This window comes from Homo sapiens, chromosome 7 (genome assembly GCF_000001405.40).
Source record: "Homo sapiens chromosome 7, GRCh38.p14 Primary Assembly".
Classification (NCBI taxonomy): Eukaryota; Metazoa; Chordata; class Mammalia; order Primates; family Hominidae; genus Homo; species Homo sapiens.
Window position 1 is genome coordinate 142893441 of NC_000007.14, and position 13546 is coordinate 142906986.

A 13546-nucleotide genomic window follows, 5' to 3' on the forward strand; every position below is an offset into this window, starting at 1 on the left:
TGGGCAGCAGGCCTGCAGGGGTGGCATTTGATTGCCAATCTTCCCCTGGTTGTCCCCACCTGCACTTCTTATTCTTCTCTCTTCAACCAACAAACTCAGTGAAAGGGCAGACAGTGAGAAGAACTCTATTGAATTCTATTTAAGGCAAGCAGTCACCCAAACACCCCACCACCTCCTTAAAAAAAAAAAAAAAGCAAAATGCCAGACTTGGTTAAGAGTGGAGGATGGTTTAACATGTACAGACGGCCGGGCGCGGTGGCTCACGCCTGTAATCCCAGCACTTTGGGAGGCCGAGGCGGGCGGATCACGAGGTCAGGAGATCGAGACCATCCCGGCTAAAACGGTGAAACCCCGTCTCTACTAAAAATACAAAAAAATTAGCCGGGCGTAGTGGCGGGCGCCTGTAGTCCCAGCTACTTGGGAGGCTGAGGCAGGAGAATGGCGTGAACCCGGGAGGCGGAGCTTGCAGTGAGCCGAGATCCCGCCACTGCACTCCAGCCTGGGCGACAGAGCGAGACTCCGTCTCAAAAAAAAAAAAAAAAAAAAAAACATGTACAGACATGCCCAAACCATGGGAGGGGGACACACTGGAAGCAAGCTGCCTCTTCTGAAAGGTCTGGGTCTGAGGGGTCCAGGACAGAGAGACCCAGAAGCAGGGAAGGAGCAGAACTGAGGGGGAGGAAGTCCCCTGGAGGTGGAGTAGGGACACACCCAAGAACCTAGGGGCTGGGAGGCACCAGCGAGTCAGGGTGCAAACCTTCCCCAACTTTTCTCACAACGGGAGCTTCGCCCCTGGATAGAACTGCAGTAGGGAGAAGGTGGTGGCTCAGCCTCCCCCTAGACCACAGGGTAGTGCTAAGCTGAGACACCAGGACTGGGCAGATTCTGTGGCAGATACCTGAGCTGGGAGGCTGAGAGGAAGGTGGAGTGGCAGCAGCTGAGGGGGCCAGGAGGTGGTGTCCCAGCTGGGTACAGGGAGGGATGGAAGCCCAATAGTGTGTTCTCCAGATGACTGTTGGGAAATCCTGGACCTAGCTGGGCACCAGGAGCGTGAGGTCGCTAGTCAGTCACTACACTAACAGGAACTAGAAAATTAAAAAAAAAAAGACTTTAGCTATTCTGCAACTCCCCACCTCCCCAGCCTCCATCACACGATTCTTGGAGCATGGGGCATGGTTCCCTCCTGTGTGTAGTGCCCTGTGCACGTGGGAGTGTGGATGCTGGAGTGTGCAACTTGGCTTTGTTTGAGCATGTGTGTGCTGGTACAAGCATGGGGCAAGGTGGGAATGGGCGACAGCTGGAGTATACAATGATCTCCCGATAGGAATCTGTTTACCCATCACCCCTGTCATCACAGAGCTATGTGCTGTGCCCTGGGAGCAGTTCTCCTGCCCGGGGCTCCCACTTGCCCTCCTTTATCTTCTCCTCCTCCTTCTCCTTGCCTTGCCGAGGTTTCTAACTATAAGAGCTGACTTTGGAGTGTCTGAGGGAACCCTGAGTCTTCAAGCTGCTGGGAAGTCCAGGAACTGTTTCGCAGGCAGTACTGGGCCTAAAATTCTTGCAGGCAGACCAAAGTGCAGAAGGAAACTATTGGCACAGGGCTGCCGATCCGAGTCAACACTGAAGGTGCTGGTGGATGATCCTCTGACTGAAGTTGTGTGCCCAACATTGAGGGTGGCTGCTGCAATGTACTAAACACACTGTCAGAAGTGTGCAAGTGCCTGTGAGCTGACAGACTCAGAGGTGTCTTTTAGTTCCATTATCTGTGTTCACCCTTGCTACAGACTTTATGAAGAGGGTTGTGCTCCATCCACCAGGATCTGGATTTGTCCATCTGTCCATACAACGAGGGAGCCCTTGTGGAGACAGATCTCTCCGGGAGCCCAGAAATCCTGGGTCATTGCCCTGCTCCATTCTGGTGAGATCTGTGACTTCAATCAGACAATCTCTCTGAGAATCAGCTTCCTTGTCTGTAAAACAGGAACGCTTAATACTGCTCTGTTTACTTTATGGGGTTGTTTTTAGGATTAAAGAAGATAACGACCATGAAAAGACTTTATACACCATAAAGTGTCATATGAATGCAAGTCACTTGTTTTATCATTTTGCTTTGGGGGGAGTATTTGAAATCCAACCCATCTAGGAAACAGCTTTCTGGTAGAGACTTTAGAACTGTCTTATCTCAGGGGCTCTGAATTGTGAGGTAGAAGTACAAGGTCTTGGAGCCAGATAAATTTGGGTTCAAAATCAGACTCTGCTAATTACTGGCTGAGTGATATTAGTCAAATTGGCACACCCCTCTCAGCCTCAGTTTCCTTGTCTACAAAAGGAGCACGGTAATAGTCACTTGACCTTAGGCAAGTAACTCACCCTCTCTGGGCCTTAGTTGCCTGTCTGTAAAATTAGGATGACAACAGCTAACTTGCAGGCTCCTGAGAATTAGATGAGAGAGAAGAGTGTGGGAGGCAGCTGGCCCATGGCAAATATACAGTAATAGCCTCTGTTCTTATTCCCTCATTCTTCTCTTCTATGGCTGTTATTCTGCCTTGGAGCCCTTTCAGTGATAGACCACATTACCCTCTGGTGAGAAAATCCGCTCTCTCCCTCCAGGAGACTAGAGTAGATCCTGCCTCAGGCTGTTACCACCTACACAGGGTGGGTTTCTGTATCATCCCTTCCATAGACCTCACCCCCTGCTCTCCCAAAGAGACTGTTTACATCTAAGTCTCTTGTTCACTGTTGACTTGAATAGTGAGGAAATACGGGTTATGGCATTTCCCCTACACCAGGCTCTCTAATCAGGCCAATCCTGCCCCAGTTCAGGAAGATGCCCCAGATGATCTGTTCATAAACTCCAGCTCATCCTCTGAAGCCCAACTTGAATGTCACACTCTCTCTTTTCTTCCCTAGGCACCCAACTCTACCCAGTCAGGGCCAGTCCCTGCCTCTCCTGTGCCCCCACCTCTCTTCCCTCCTGCCCTGCATGGAAAGGATCTTACTGCATTAACATTGTCCCTTTGCTTGCCTATTTTTCCCACCTAGAGAGTCTCAAAGGAAGAGGCTAAATCACATCACATTCTTCTTTTTCCGCACTGGAGTGCCTGGCGTAGAGTTTATGATGAACTACGTTTTATGAGGAATGAGCTGTGCCTGGGAAATTGCAAGCTATTTAATAGGTATATTTTCTTTCCTAGGCCCCAAGGGTAAAGGTGGCCCAGTGTACAAGAGAGGGGCTCAGAAGGTGGTGAAGAACAAGGAAAGGTGGCAGGGAGGTGTGTGTGTGCCCGGTGGGGTGGGGAGGGGGTTTTTCAATCCCCAGCCCACACACAGAGAAATGGCCATCTGCTCTTGAAAGATTAATTGGCCTGGATAAGGTGGGAAGGGAGCAGCAACTAGGATGGAGGAAAGGACGTGGTGTATGTAGCAGAGACACCTGTCTCCCCAGCCATTCCCACCCTCCCGCCCTGAGCTTCCCCATCAGGTCTGGCCTGGGACCCAGAGGGAAGGAGTGATCACTGACCTGAGACCTGGGGGGTTGGCACAGAGGCCATGGAACCTGGGATTGCCTCCTTCTTGCCCCTCAGGTTCACCAAGTTCACCTGTGGAGGGAGGGAGAGAGAGAAGGGAAAGAGACAGAGATTTCTGCCTGGGTAAAGAAAGAACAAGTTGCTTGGGCAACATGGCTAAACCCTGTCTCTGCCAAAAAACAAACAAAAAACTAGCCAGGCATGGTGGTGCACCTGTAGTCCCAGTTATTTGGGAGGCTGAGGGCTGAGTTGAGACTGCAGTGAGCCACCATCACACCACTGCACTCCAGCCTGAGTGACAGCGTAAGACCCTGTCCCCCAAAAAAAGAAAGAACAAGTTGTTGCAACCCTCCCTTTGCAGCTTCCCTCTCTGGATGTGGTTTATTTAGGGAGAAGAGAGAGACTACAGGATGAGGGGCTGGAGTCTGAGAGTTCCTGAAGAAGTAAAGAGCCATCATTGGGGGGTTACCCTCTCTGACCTATGGGCATGACAGAGGCTCTAAGGACCTGGCCAGTGTCACCTTCATGGAGCCATGGCCTTTTATTTCTACATCTCTTTCCCTTATATCCTTATTTCTGAATTGGAAGACAGTGTCCAGAGGGGGCTCAGAAAAAGCAGAGGGAGCAAGAGCACAAGAGAAGGGAACCAGGGCAGCCCAAGGTATTGCAATCACTCCTTACAGCAGTAAAATTTTAGGAACGTGTGTGCTTTCACATGCTTGGTGCTATTTTCTTGTCATAATCATGTCAGGTACACAAGTCAGAAATTATCATCATCACTGACTGATGTACAGGTTTCCTCACTAATACCATGGCAGAGCTGGGGAGTAAAACTGGGTTTTCACATGCACACGTCATCCGGCAGGGGCCCCCGTTCTCGAGGGAGCTCTGCTCATGGGGATGAGAAAAGAGGCAGCGGCTGAGGTGGCCTTGGGTTAACCGAGCACCTAAGACAGTACCGACCAAAGAGGGCCCTGGTGGTGGTTGGGGCAGGGTGGTAGTGATGATGTGTCTTGGAGGCAGGTTGTAACCCTCAGTGGGCACCACAGTTTGGTCAGGAAGAAGAAAAAAAGCAGCTCAAGTAAAAGGGCCAAAGAAAGAAAGCTTTGTTGAAAAGAGAATGACCTTTAAGAATCATGAAGGAGGCTGGGCGAGGTGGCTCATGCCTGTAATCCCAGCACTTTGAGAGGCTGAGGCAGGCGGATCACTAGGTCAGGAGATCGAGACCATCCTGGCCAACACGGTGAAATCCCATCTCTACTAAAAAAAATACAAAAATTAGCTGGGCATGGTGGCACGTGCCTGTAGTCCTAGCTACTCAGCAGGCTGAGGCAGGTGTATCGCTTGAACCCAGGAGGTGGAGGTTGCAGTGAGCTGAGATTGCGCCACTGCACTCCAGCCTGGCAACAGAGCAAGACTCTGTCTCAAAAAAAAAAAAAAAAAAGGAATCACGAAGGAGAAGCTCTTCCTCACAGGTAAGTGCAGGAAGCACTGCACAGGTAAGTGTGGAGGCACACACTCAGGCTTGCCATGCTGCAGCTGGCTTGCACAAGCCCCTACCCCCTCAGGCTCAATTGATCCTAATTGCCGCCTCCTCAAACCCAGGGATAACAAAGAGGTGCAAGCAAAATGAAGAAGGTGTGTCCAGTCCTTCCCCAGGTGGCTCCAACCTGGCTGCCATCCCAGGGCAGAGAGAGGGGGGCCACACTTCACCAACTTCTCCCTGTCTGCATGACATCACTCAGCATTACCTGGTTAAAGTATTTCTCACCATGCCCATTTCTCATCTTTTCCTCATTAACCTTTAAGAAACAAGTGAGCTTGACTCAAGGAGGTAAATGATCCTTGACCTCATGTCAAGGCATTCTCTCAGTTTTTCCTGGAGTGATCTCAGGTGTGCCAAGCAGCCTTCTGGATGCCATTGTTGGCCCCTCTCTCTCTCTCCAATGTCTCTTCTCTGCCCTGCCATGCAATGCCATCCTGCTCTAAGGACCTGCTAAGACAGCCCTACCTTGGCTTACTCTCTCCCTCCTCCTTTTTTTCCCCTCCCTCAGCTCTGCCCAGACCTTATCTTGCATTTCTTCAGATGCAACACAGGGGGAGGAATGCTGACCTCTGGCCCCCATTCCTGAGGCTTCCGGCACAGCCATTCCTCAGGTGCAACTCAGCTGTTCTTACCAGAACCCAGCACCTTGTCAATAACATACTTTGCAAACGTCTGAGGGAGGGAGGCATTTTAAAAGTCCAGTGATGCCTCTGAGAACAACATTTTCTTTTTCTTTTCTTTTCTTTTTTTTTTTTTTTTTGAGATGGGGTTTCGCTCTTGTTGTGCAGGCTGGAGTGAAATGGCACGATCTCGGCTCACTGCAACCTCCACTTCCAGGGTTCAAGCAATTCTTCTGCCTCAGCCTCCCGAGTAGCTGGGATTGCAGGCATGTGCCACCATGTCTGGTTAGTTTTTGTATTTTTAGTAGAGATGGGGTTTCTCCATGTTGGTCAGGCTGGGCTTGAACTCCCGACCTCAGGTGATCTGCCCACCTTGGCCTCCCAAAGTGCTGGGATTATAGGCATAAGCCACTGCACCCGGCTGAGAACAACATTTTCTCATTGCTTTCCAGCCTCTGGCCTATGAGACATACAGAAGCATGAATATTTTTTTGCATTCTATATTCTGAAATAATCAGGGATGGGGGAGACAGAGGGGGAAGAATAGTAACCATTTGTGGGTACCTGAAGAATTCCTGAGGCAGAACGAGCAGTGGATATTTCTTCTACTCCCTGTCCCTGTCTCTGAAGTCCTGTATAGAAGCCTTGCAGCTGCCAGGCAGGAAGAGACATTTGCCATCTCGTTTAGCACACGGGTCACTTCCCACATCTGCCCTGCAGTGAGCTGATGTCTGTGTGTATGTGTTCTCTTCCCTTCTCACTTGGGCTCCTGAGGGCAGATGTGGAATCTCACAGATTATCTTAATGCCTCTTACAGAGGGTACCACATACCAGACAGTAAGTGCTGTCCCAGAGCTTTGCTGAAGGACTTCTTGCCCCCTTTTCCTCCTCCTCCTCTTATTCTTCATCTTTTTTCCCCTTCTTCCTTCTTCTCTTCTCTGTCAGTCCCCCTCCTGCCCCTTCTCCTCCACCACCTTTTTCCTCTTCCTCCTCCTTCTTCTCACTCTCTCTCTCTGTGTCTCATATATACACACACAGACACACACACAAATACATATTCACACACACGTATATTTAGGCTAAAAACATGTTCTAGCAATCACATTTGCATTGGTTTTTATTCTTTCCAAAGTGTTTCCACTCATATTATGTGGTCATCTTTAATTACTACAACCTCACTCAAAAGGCAGCTATTTTTTTTACCACCTTTGACAGGTAGAAAAAAAGTGGAAATATGTGTGGCCAGTAAGAAAAGTCAGAATAAAAATAGGTCAATCATTCATAGATTCAGTTAATAAATATTCATTTCACAATACATTGTACTAGGAATTATGCCAGGTACTGGGAATACAAGGGTGAATAAGATGGACATCATCTTTACGTTTGTGGAGCTCATAGTCATTTAAACAAACAAGTGCAATAAAGTCCAGTGTGTGTAATAAAAAGAAAATATAGGTGGTCTAGCAACATAAAGCAGGTAGTCTCTAACCTAGTCTAGGAGTGAGTCAGGGAGCCCCCTCTCTTACCACACATGTGCACATTCACCCACCCTAAATGTATAATCTTTAAGCTGAGACCAATAGGATGAATAAAAGTTACAGCGATGGGCCGGGCGAGGTGGCTCACACCTGTAATCCCAGCACTTTGGGAGGCTGAGGCGGGTGGATCACGAGGTCAGGAGATCGAGACCATCCTGGCTAACACGGTGAAACCCCATCTCTACGAAAAATACAAAAAATTAGCCGGGCGTGGTGGCGGGCGCCTGTAGTCCCAGCTGCTGGGGAGGCTGAGGCAGGAGAATGGCATGAACCCAGGAGGTGGAGATTGCAGTGAGCAGAGATCATGCCACTGCACTCCAGCCCGGGCGACAGAGCAAGACTCCTTCTCAAAAAAAAAAAAAAAAAAAAAGGCACAGCAATGAAAGAGGAAATGGAGGCAGAGGGGTAGAAAGGTCCAGAAATTATGAAAGCCAGGGGGAAGGAGAATATAGCACTACCCAGGAATAAAAATAATACATCATGGTAAAATCATGTGCAGAATGAGACACTTTAAAATATCCTAAGTGACAAAAGCAACAACTCCTTTTCTAATCTACTAAGCTATTATATGTATTTTAAGATAAACATATACATACATATACTTGGAAATGTCTAGAGTATTTTTGGAAGGATAAATAATAAACTTTCATTAGTGAATGTCCCTGAGAATAACAAGCAAGAGGCTGAGACAGAGATAAGAGAGCTTACTTTCCTAGATATCTTGTGTGCTGTTTGGGTTTTGTACCTTGTGATGTGTTATCTAATCAAAATTAGTTATTTTTCAAAGGAGAAATTTAGGGACTAGACTATCCACAAGACGTGAGATCAACTGGATATGAGAGTTGAGATAGAGGTGTGGAGGATGGGACGCCTAGGATCCTGGCTTAGGCAACTTTGTTGTGCTACCACATACTTGGTTGGAAACACTGGTGGAGGAGCAGGTTTGGTGAGGAAGAAAAGCTGTTCAGTTTGGGACATGTTGAGTTTGAGGTGTTTGTAAAACATCCAGGTAGAGCGGTCCAATCAATAGGCGTCCAAGCCGTTCATGCCTGGAGCTCCGGAGACAGATCTAAGGTGACGATAAGGAGCTAGGGATTCTGAGCTTGTGCATGGTAATCTATTGAATTAGGCAGGACTACCCAGGTGGTAAGGAAAACAGCCTGTGGACTGAAAATCTTTAAGGGGTCAGTGGAGGAGAAGCAGCCAGGACAGCTGCGATATGTGGCACAAGACGTGTTGAGAAGTGGCGCACAATTAACCGTAATCTGAATGCTACCGAGTGTTCAAGCAAAACTAAGACTGTTCAGTGGATTTAACTACAGGTATCAGTATCACGGAGAAGGCAGGGTCAAATCACAATGGGTTGAGGTGTCAGTGGGAGGCCAGTAGACAATGGGATTTACTCTTAAGAAGTTTGGCCCTGAACAGGGAGTAGCTGAAAGAAGAGGTGGGGTTGAGGGAGGGAGTTTGCAGTTTCTTCGAAAATGCAAAAGAATAGAGCATGCTTATTTGCTGACAGAGCTACCAGAGAAGGAGAAGTTGAAGATACACACGTGAGAGGGGTCAGAGGAGACAGTGATGGACACAGGGTGTGAAAAGACAGAGTGAGGAATGGATCTAGAACACAGATGGGAGTTTAGCTTTGCACAGGAGTGGAAGTTGTAAACTGAGAAAAAGATGTCTGAGACAAGTCTCGATCAATTTACAGGTTTATTTTGCAAGGTTGAGGACACAGGAAAAAGAGACACAGGCCACAGTAAGATCTGAGGCCTGCACTTTTTCCAAAGTGGGTTTTGAAGGCTTCAATATTTAAAGGGGTTAAGTGGCCAGGAGGGGAAGGAGAAAAGTTAAAGAAAAGTGGCGGAGAGTAGACAAGTGGTTACATTCTTTTGAGGCTTTGATTAGTGCTCACTGAATCCACATGTTGCATGTGAGAAGCAGGGGACAGAGGAACAGTCATTTATGTATTTGTGTCATGCTCAGTAAATCTGCACTTTACATAAGACAAAGTAAATTAGAGGAAGAAGTCAAATATGCCTTCATCCCAGGGTAGGAGGAGGGACGATTTCTATTCTTCTCTTCTCCTGTACCCGTGAAGATAAACTGTTAATTTATAATGTCAGGGTGAAGGAGGCCATCTGGGGAGCTAATGTGGCCTTCTGTCTTGAGGCTATCTGTTTAGGAACAAAAAGACAGGCAGTTTCCAAACTTTTTGGAAGAAAGGCAACTTCCAAAAGTTTGACTCAGTTTCCAAACTTAACTTTTCCCTTTCACATAGTGAGTTTGAGGTCCCAAGATGTTATTTTCCTTTCACATCCTCCCACCCTGTTCTTCCAAATCTTTCAGGGAAAGCATTGTAGAAGAAAGTGAGTGTCTGATCTCAGGTTTGGTCTGATCCCTTGTCACTAGGACAGTTTATTTCTAGAGGGTTAGGTCCCTCATTTTAGAAAGGATCATTCTTAGCAGGTTGTGAAGTTTCATGTTCCACAGAGAAAAATAGGGGAAAGAAGAGAGAAAGAAAACCAGTAGAAAAGGAGGAAAGATCATGACAACAAAAGGGGAAAGTAATCCTGGAAAACTGATTTAGGCTATATTGCTCTGAAGTCCATGAATGAGTAGGCAGGCACAAAAGTGGTTTATATATATAAATAATTTGCTGTTACTTTTCCCAAAGTTTAAGTTTCAAGTTTCACTTGGCAGAACTTTAAGAAAAGCACAGTTTTAATTTTAATTTAATTTTAAATTAAAATTTCTAGTTTTAATTTCTAGATTCCAAATGAGAAAAAAAAGGGAAAAAATGAAAGAAAAAGGAAAAAAAAAATGAACAGTAGTTTGGAGACTTGTAGCCAGGAAAGGACTTAGGATTCAGTCCAAATGCATTTTAACAAAGAATGAAACTGAGAAACAATTGATAAGGTGGGGTCTAAGAAGAGGTGTTTTATATGTTTTTTTAAAAAAAAAAAAAAACATAATTTTTATCTCAGTCCTCCATTTTTATCAAAGACAAATCATAGTAGGACTAATTTATTTGTAGAAAAGCTTTAGTTGTATTATACTTCACCTGATTCTTTGTATAAAGTGCAGCAAGAATAATTATTTTCTATTTAGGCTTTTTTAAAATTGACTTTGCTGGAAACTTTTTTATTTAAGGAATCTTAGTTTAGACTTTTTAAAGGCCCCAAGCCCAGTCAAGAATTTATTTGTGCCTGCAGATATCTGTATGAACTGGGCGAATGCCTCTCTTCTTAATCCCAAGATAACTTGGGGTTCCCGGGCCTGCCAGAAAGTAACGTTCTTTACTTATCACAGGTTGGGAACCCTGTAAAAGAATTGTGTAGGCAAGGTACAAGGCCAGTTTTTTTAAGGATCTTTTATTGGCTCTATAAGTCAATGGCAATTCCTTAAAACAGTTTGTTGTTTTGTTTATAGCTTAAAATATTTCATTCTAGTCAAAGCTTTAGTAAAATAATAGTCTCCAATTGTGTCCTGTTACAAAAGAAAGCAGATTCTTATTGAGCTCATACAAATAACTATATTGTTATAAATTAAGAATACTCAAAAATAGTTTTCAAATTCTGGAGAAATCAGGTAGAGAGAAAGAAATATGCTTTAAATTTTGCTCACAAGAGCATATTTTACTCAATTGTTAAAAGCTGTAAACAACCCAAAAAATGAAAAGAATCACCAATGTTTCAGACAAAAAGATCACACAAAAAATTATTTTAGTCTTCTATTAGCTCAGTTCATGCAATTAACCTCTGTTCTATTTGATATTGGGTCAACAATCCTCATGAATACATCAGATCTCCAGGAGTGTCCTGGAAGATTTTTTTCCTCTATTTTAATGGCACAATCTCCAAAGCTGTCAGAAACCTGCATTTAAAAGTATCCATCTGATACAGTTTGGCTTTGTGTCCCCACCCAAATCTCATCTTGAATTGTAATCCCATAATCCCCACATGTGGTGGGAGGGACCCAGTGAAAGGTAATTGAATCATGGGGGGCAGTTCCCCCCATGTTGTTCTCATGCTAGTGAGTTCTAATGAGAACTCACTCATTCAGTGAGTTGCCCACTGTACTCTAGCATGGGCAACAGATGGTTTTATATGGGGCTACCCACTTTGCTTGGCACTTATTCTCTCTCCTGGCACCCTGTGAAGAGGTGATTCTCCAGTGATTCTAAGTTTCCTGAGGCTTCCCCAGTCATGCAGAACTGTGAATCAATTAAACTTTTCTTTATAATTTACCCAGTCTCAAGTATCTCTTCATAGCAGCATGGGAATGAACTAATACACCATCAGAGTCCTATAACTGATTATAAGCAACTTTTTGAAAAGGAACAAAGTAAAATAATAATTGTGAATGACAAAAGATATCCACAGTCAAAGATATAATTGACAAGGAAATCTGGTTATTTCTGTGGCACACAATAATTTACCATAATTATAATTATTACTGATCACATATACCAAGACATATTAAAATTATAAGAATATTATACAATTTTGGAACACATAACAATAGCACATTTATATAAATATATTTCAAAGAAAGTTACACACCATTTTATACTTGGCAATGCCTCCTGTATGATTTTAACATATCAAATAAGCCAAATATGCCTCTGTTGGACATTTAAAAGTCAGTTTGAGGTTAAAAGACTGCATTTAGAATTTAATCTTGGAAAGTTAGTCCAACATTAAAAGTTTAAAGCACTTGATATCGCAAAATGAGATTACAGGTCATTATAATCATTTAGCTAAAGTGATAACTCACCAATTTTAAAAAAAAGCAGAAATCTTTACTCCTTGATAAAGAAGACCTCAGTTTTCTAAAAAATAGGACCTAATAGAGACAGTGTGAAGCCAACTGAATCTGTCTCTCCTCTCCTTCTTCTTTAATTTTTTTGGCAGTTTATTCAAAGGGCAAATGAAAATCTTTTACTATCTCTTAATATTATACAAAAATCTTATTTAAAAGAGAAAACCAAATTTTATTTTTGTATTACTGTATTGTTAATTCTAAAGCTTTAATAGAATCTTATAAGCAAATCTACCAAATTTTAATTAGTTTGATTGTAAGGTAAGATTTCCATGAGGCTTTTATAAACTTTACAAATTTGTGTTAAAGAACACATCAATATTCCAAGAAAATCCTGCCTCACACAGGTGCTCAGATTCTGACCCTGCATCAATGTGCTATTTATATGAATGTTCAATTTGTATAATATCTAAATAATCCCCTTAAAATTTTAGCCAAACTTGATCACACACAAAATTCCTTTTACAAGATCAATCTTCCACAAACCTTCTACGACTTGCTTAAACCTTCAGTTTTGTCGTTTCTGTTAACTTGAAACAGTCCTTAAAATCCTCTAAACTAGAAAAAAACACTTTCTCTTAAAAAAGAACCACACTCCCATGACTTATTTTAACATTTGTTCTCCAAAAAAAAACACAGCCTACCTGTTTAATACACATTGTATGTACCTAGTAGTTTTAATTACATTCATTAATTTATAATGTTAACTCTTAGTAATTCTTATTTTAGTGAAAAACCTAGGCAGTAAGCAATTTTAATTACATACCAGGTGCACAAGCCAGGACAAAGGACAATACCTGGGGGCAGGCCAAGGGCTCAAATCAAAAGACATATAAGTTTATAGACAAGTTAAGCAAGTATTAAAAAGATTACAGGGCTAGTGCAGTGGCTCATGCTGTAATCCCAGCACTGTGGGAGGTCGAGGCAGGTGGATTGCTTGAGACCAGGAGTTCAAGACTAGCCATGGGCAACATGGCAAAACCCCATCTCTAAAAAAAATACAAAAATTAGCTGGGTGTGGTGGTGCACACCTGTAGTGCCACCTACTTGGGAGGCTGATGGGGGAAGATTACTTGAGCCCAGGAGGTCGAAGCTGCAGTAAGCAGTGATCACACCACTGTACTTCAGCATGGGCAACAGAGCAAGACCCTGTCTCAAGAAAAAAAAAAAAGGACTACAGAAGCAGAATTTTAAAGTGCTTCTACTATGAAGAGAATAAAGAAGAATGATGGTGACTGAGCAGTTTTACATACCCTGCCACCACTGTGTCCCAGTGTGTGCGGGCGTGTGTATACACATTGTGCAATCCCTCACTGCTGGGCACTCAGCCCTGGGCTGGTGTATCTGAATTAACTGTCTGTGGTTTCACAAATACCACTTACTTCTTTGTTATCCCAGACCACAGTCCTTTGAAAAGCTGACATGGCTTTTTGCTAAGGGTGATGATGGGGCTGGGATTAGAAGTATAGTGCTGGAGACACAAGAGAGGCTGAC

The 13546-nt window shown here is 44.2% G+C and overlaps 1 annotated feature.

The window, feature by feature from the left end:
• Nucleotides 8467–8667: a silencer, noted in NCBI's record as "peak6804 fragment used in MPRA reporter construct". NCBI's record gives its function as "represses an SCP1 promoter by STARR-seq MPRAs in K562 erythroleukemia cells {active_cell/tissue: K562}" and the evidence as "EXISTENCE:reporter gene assay evidence [ECO:0000049][PMID:32103011]".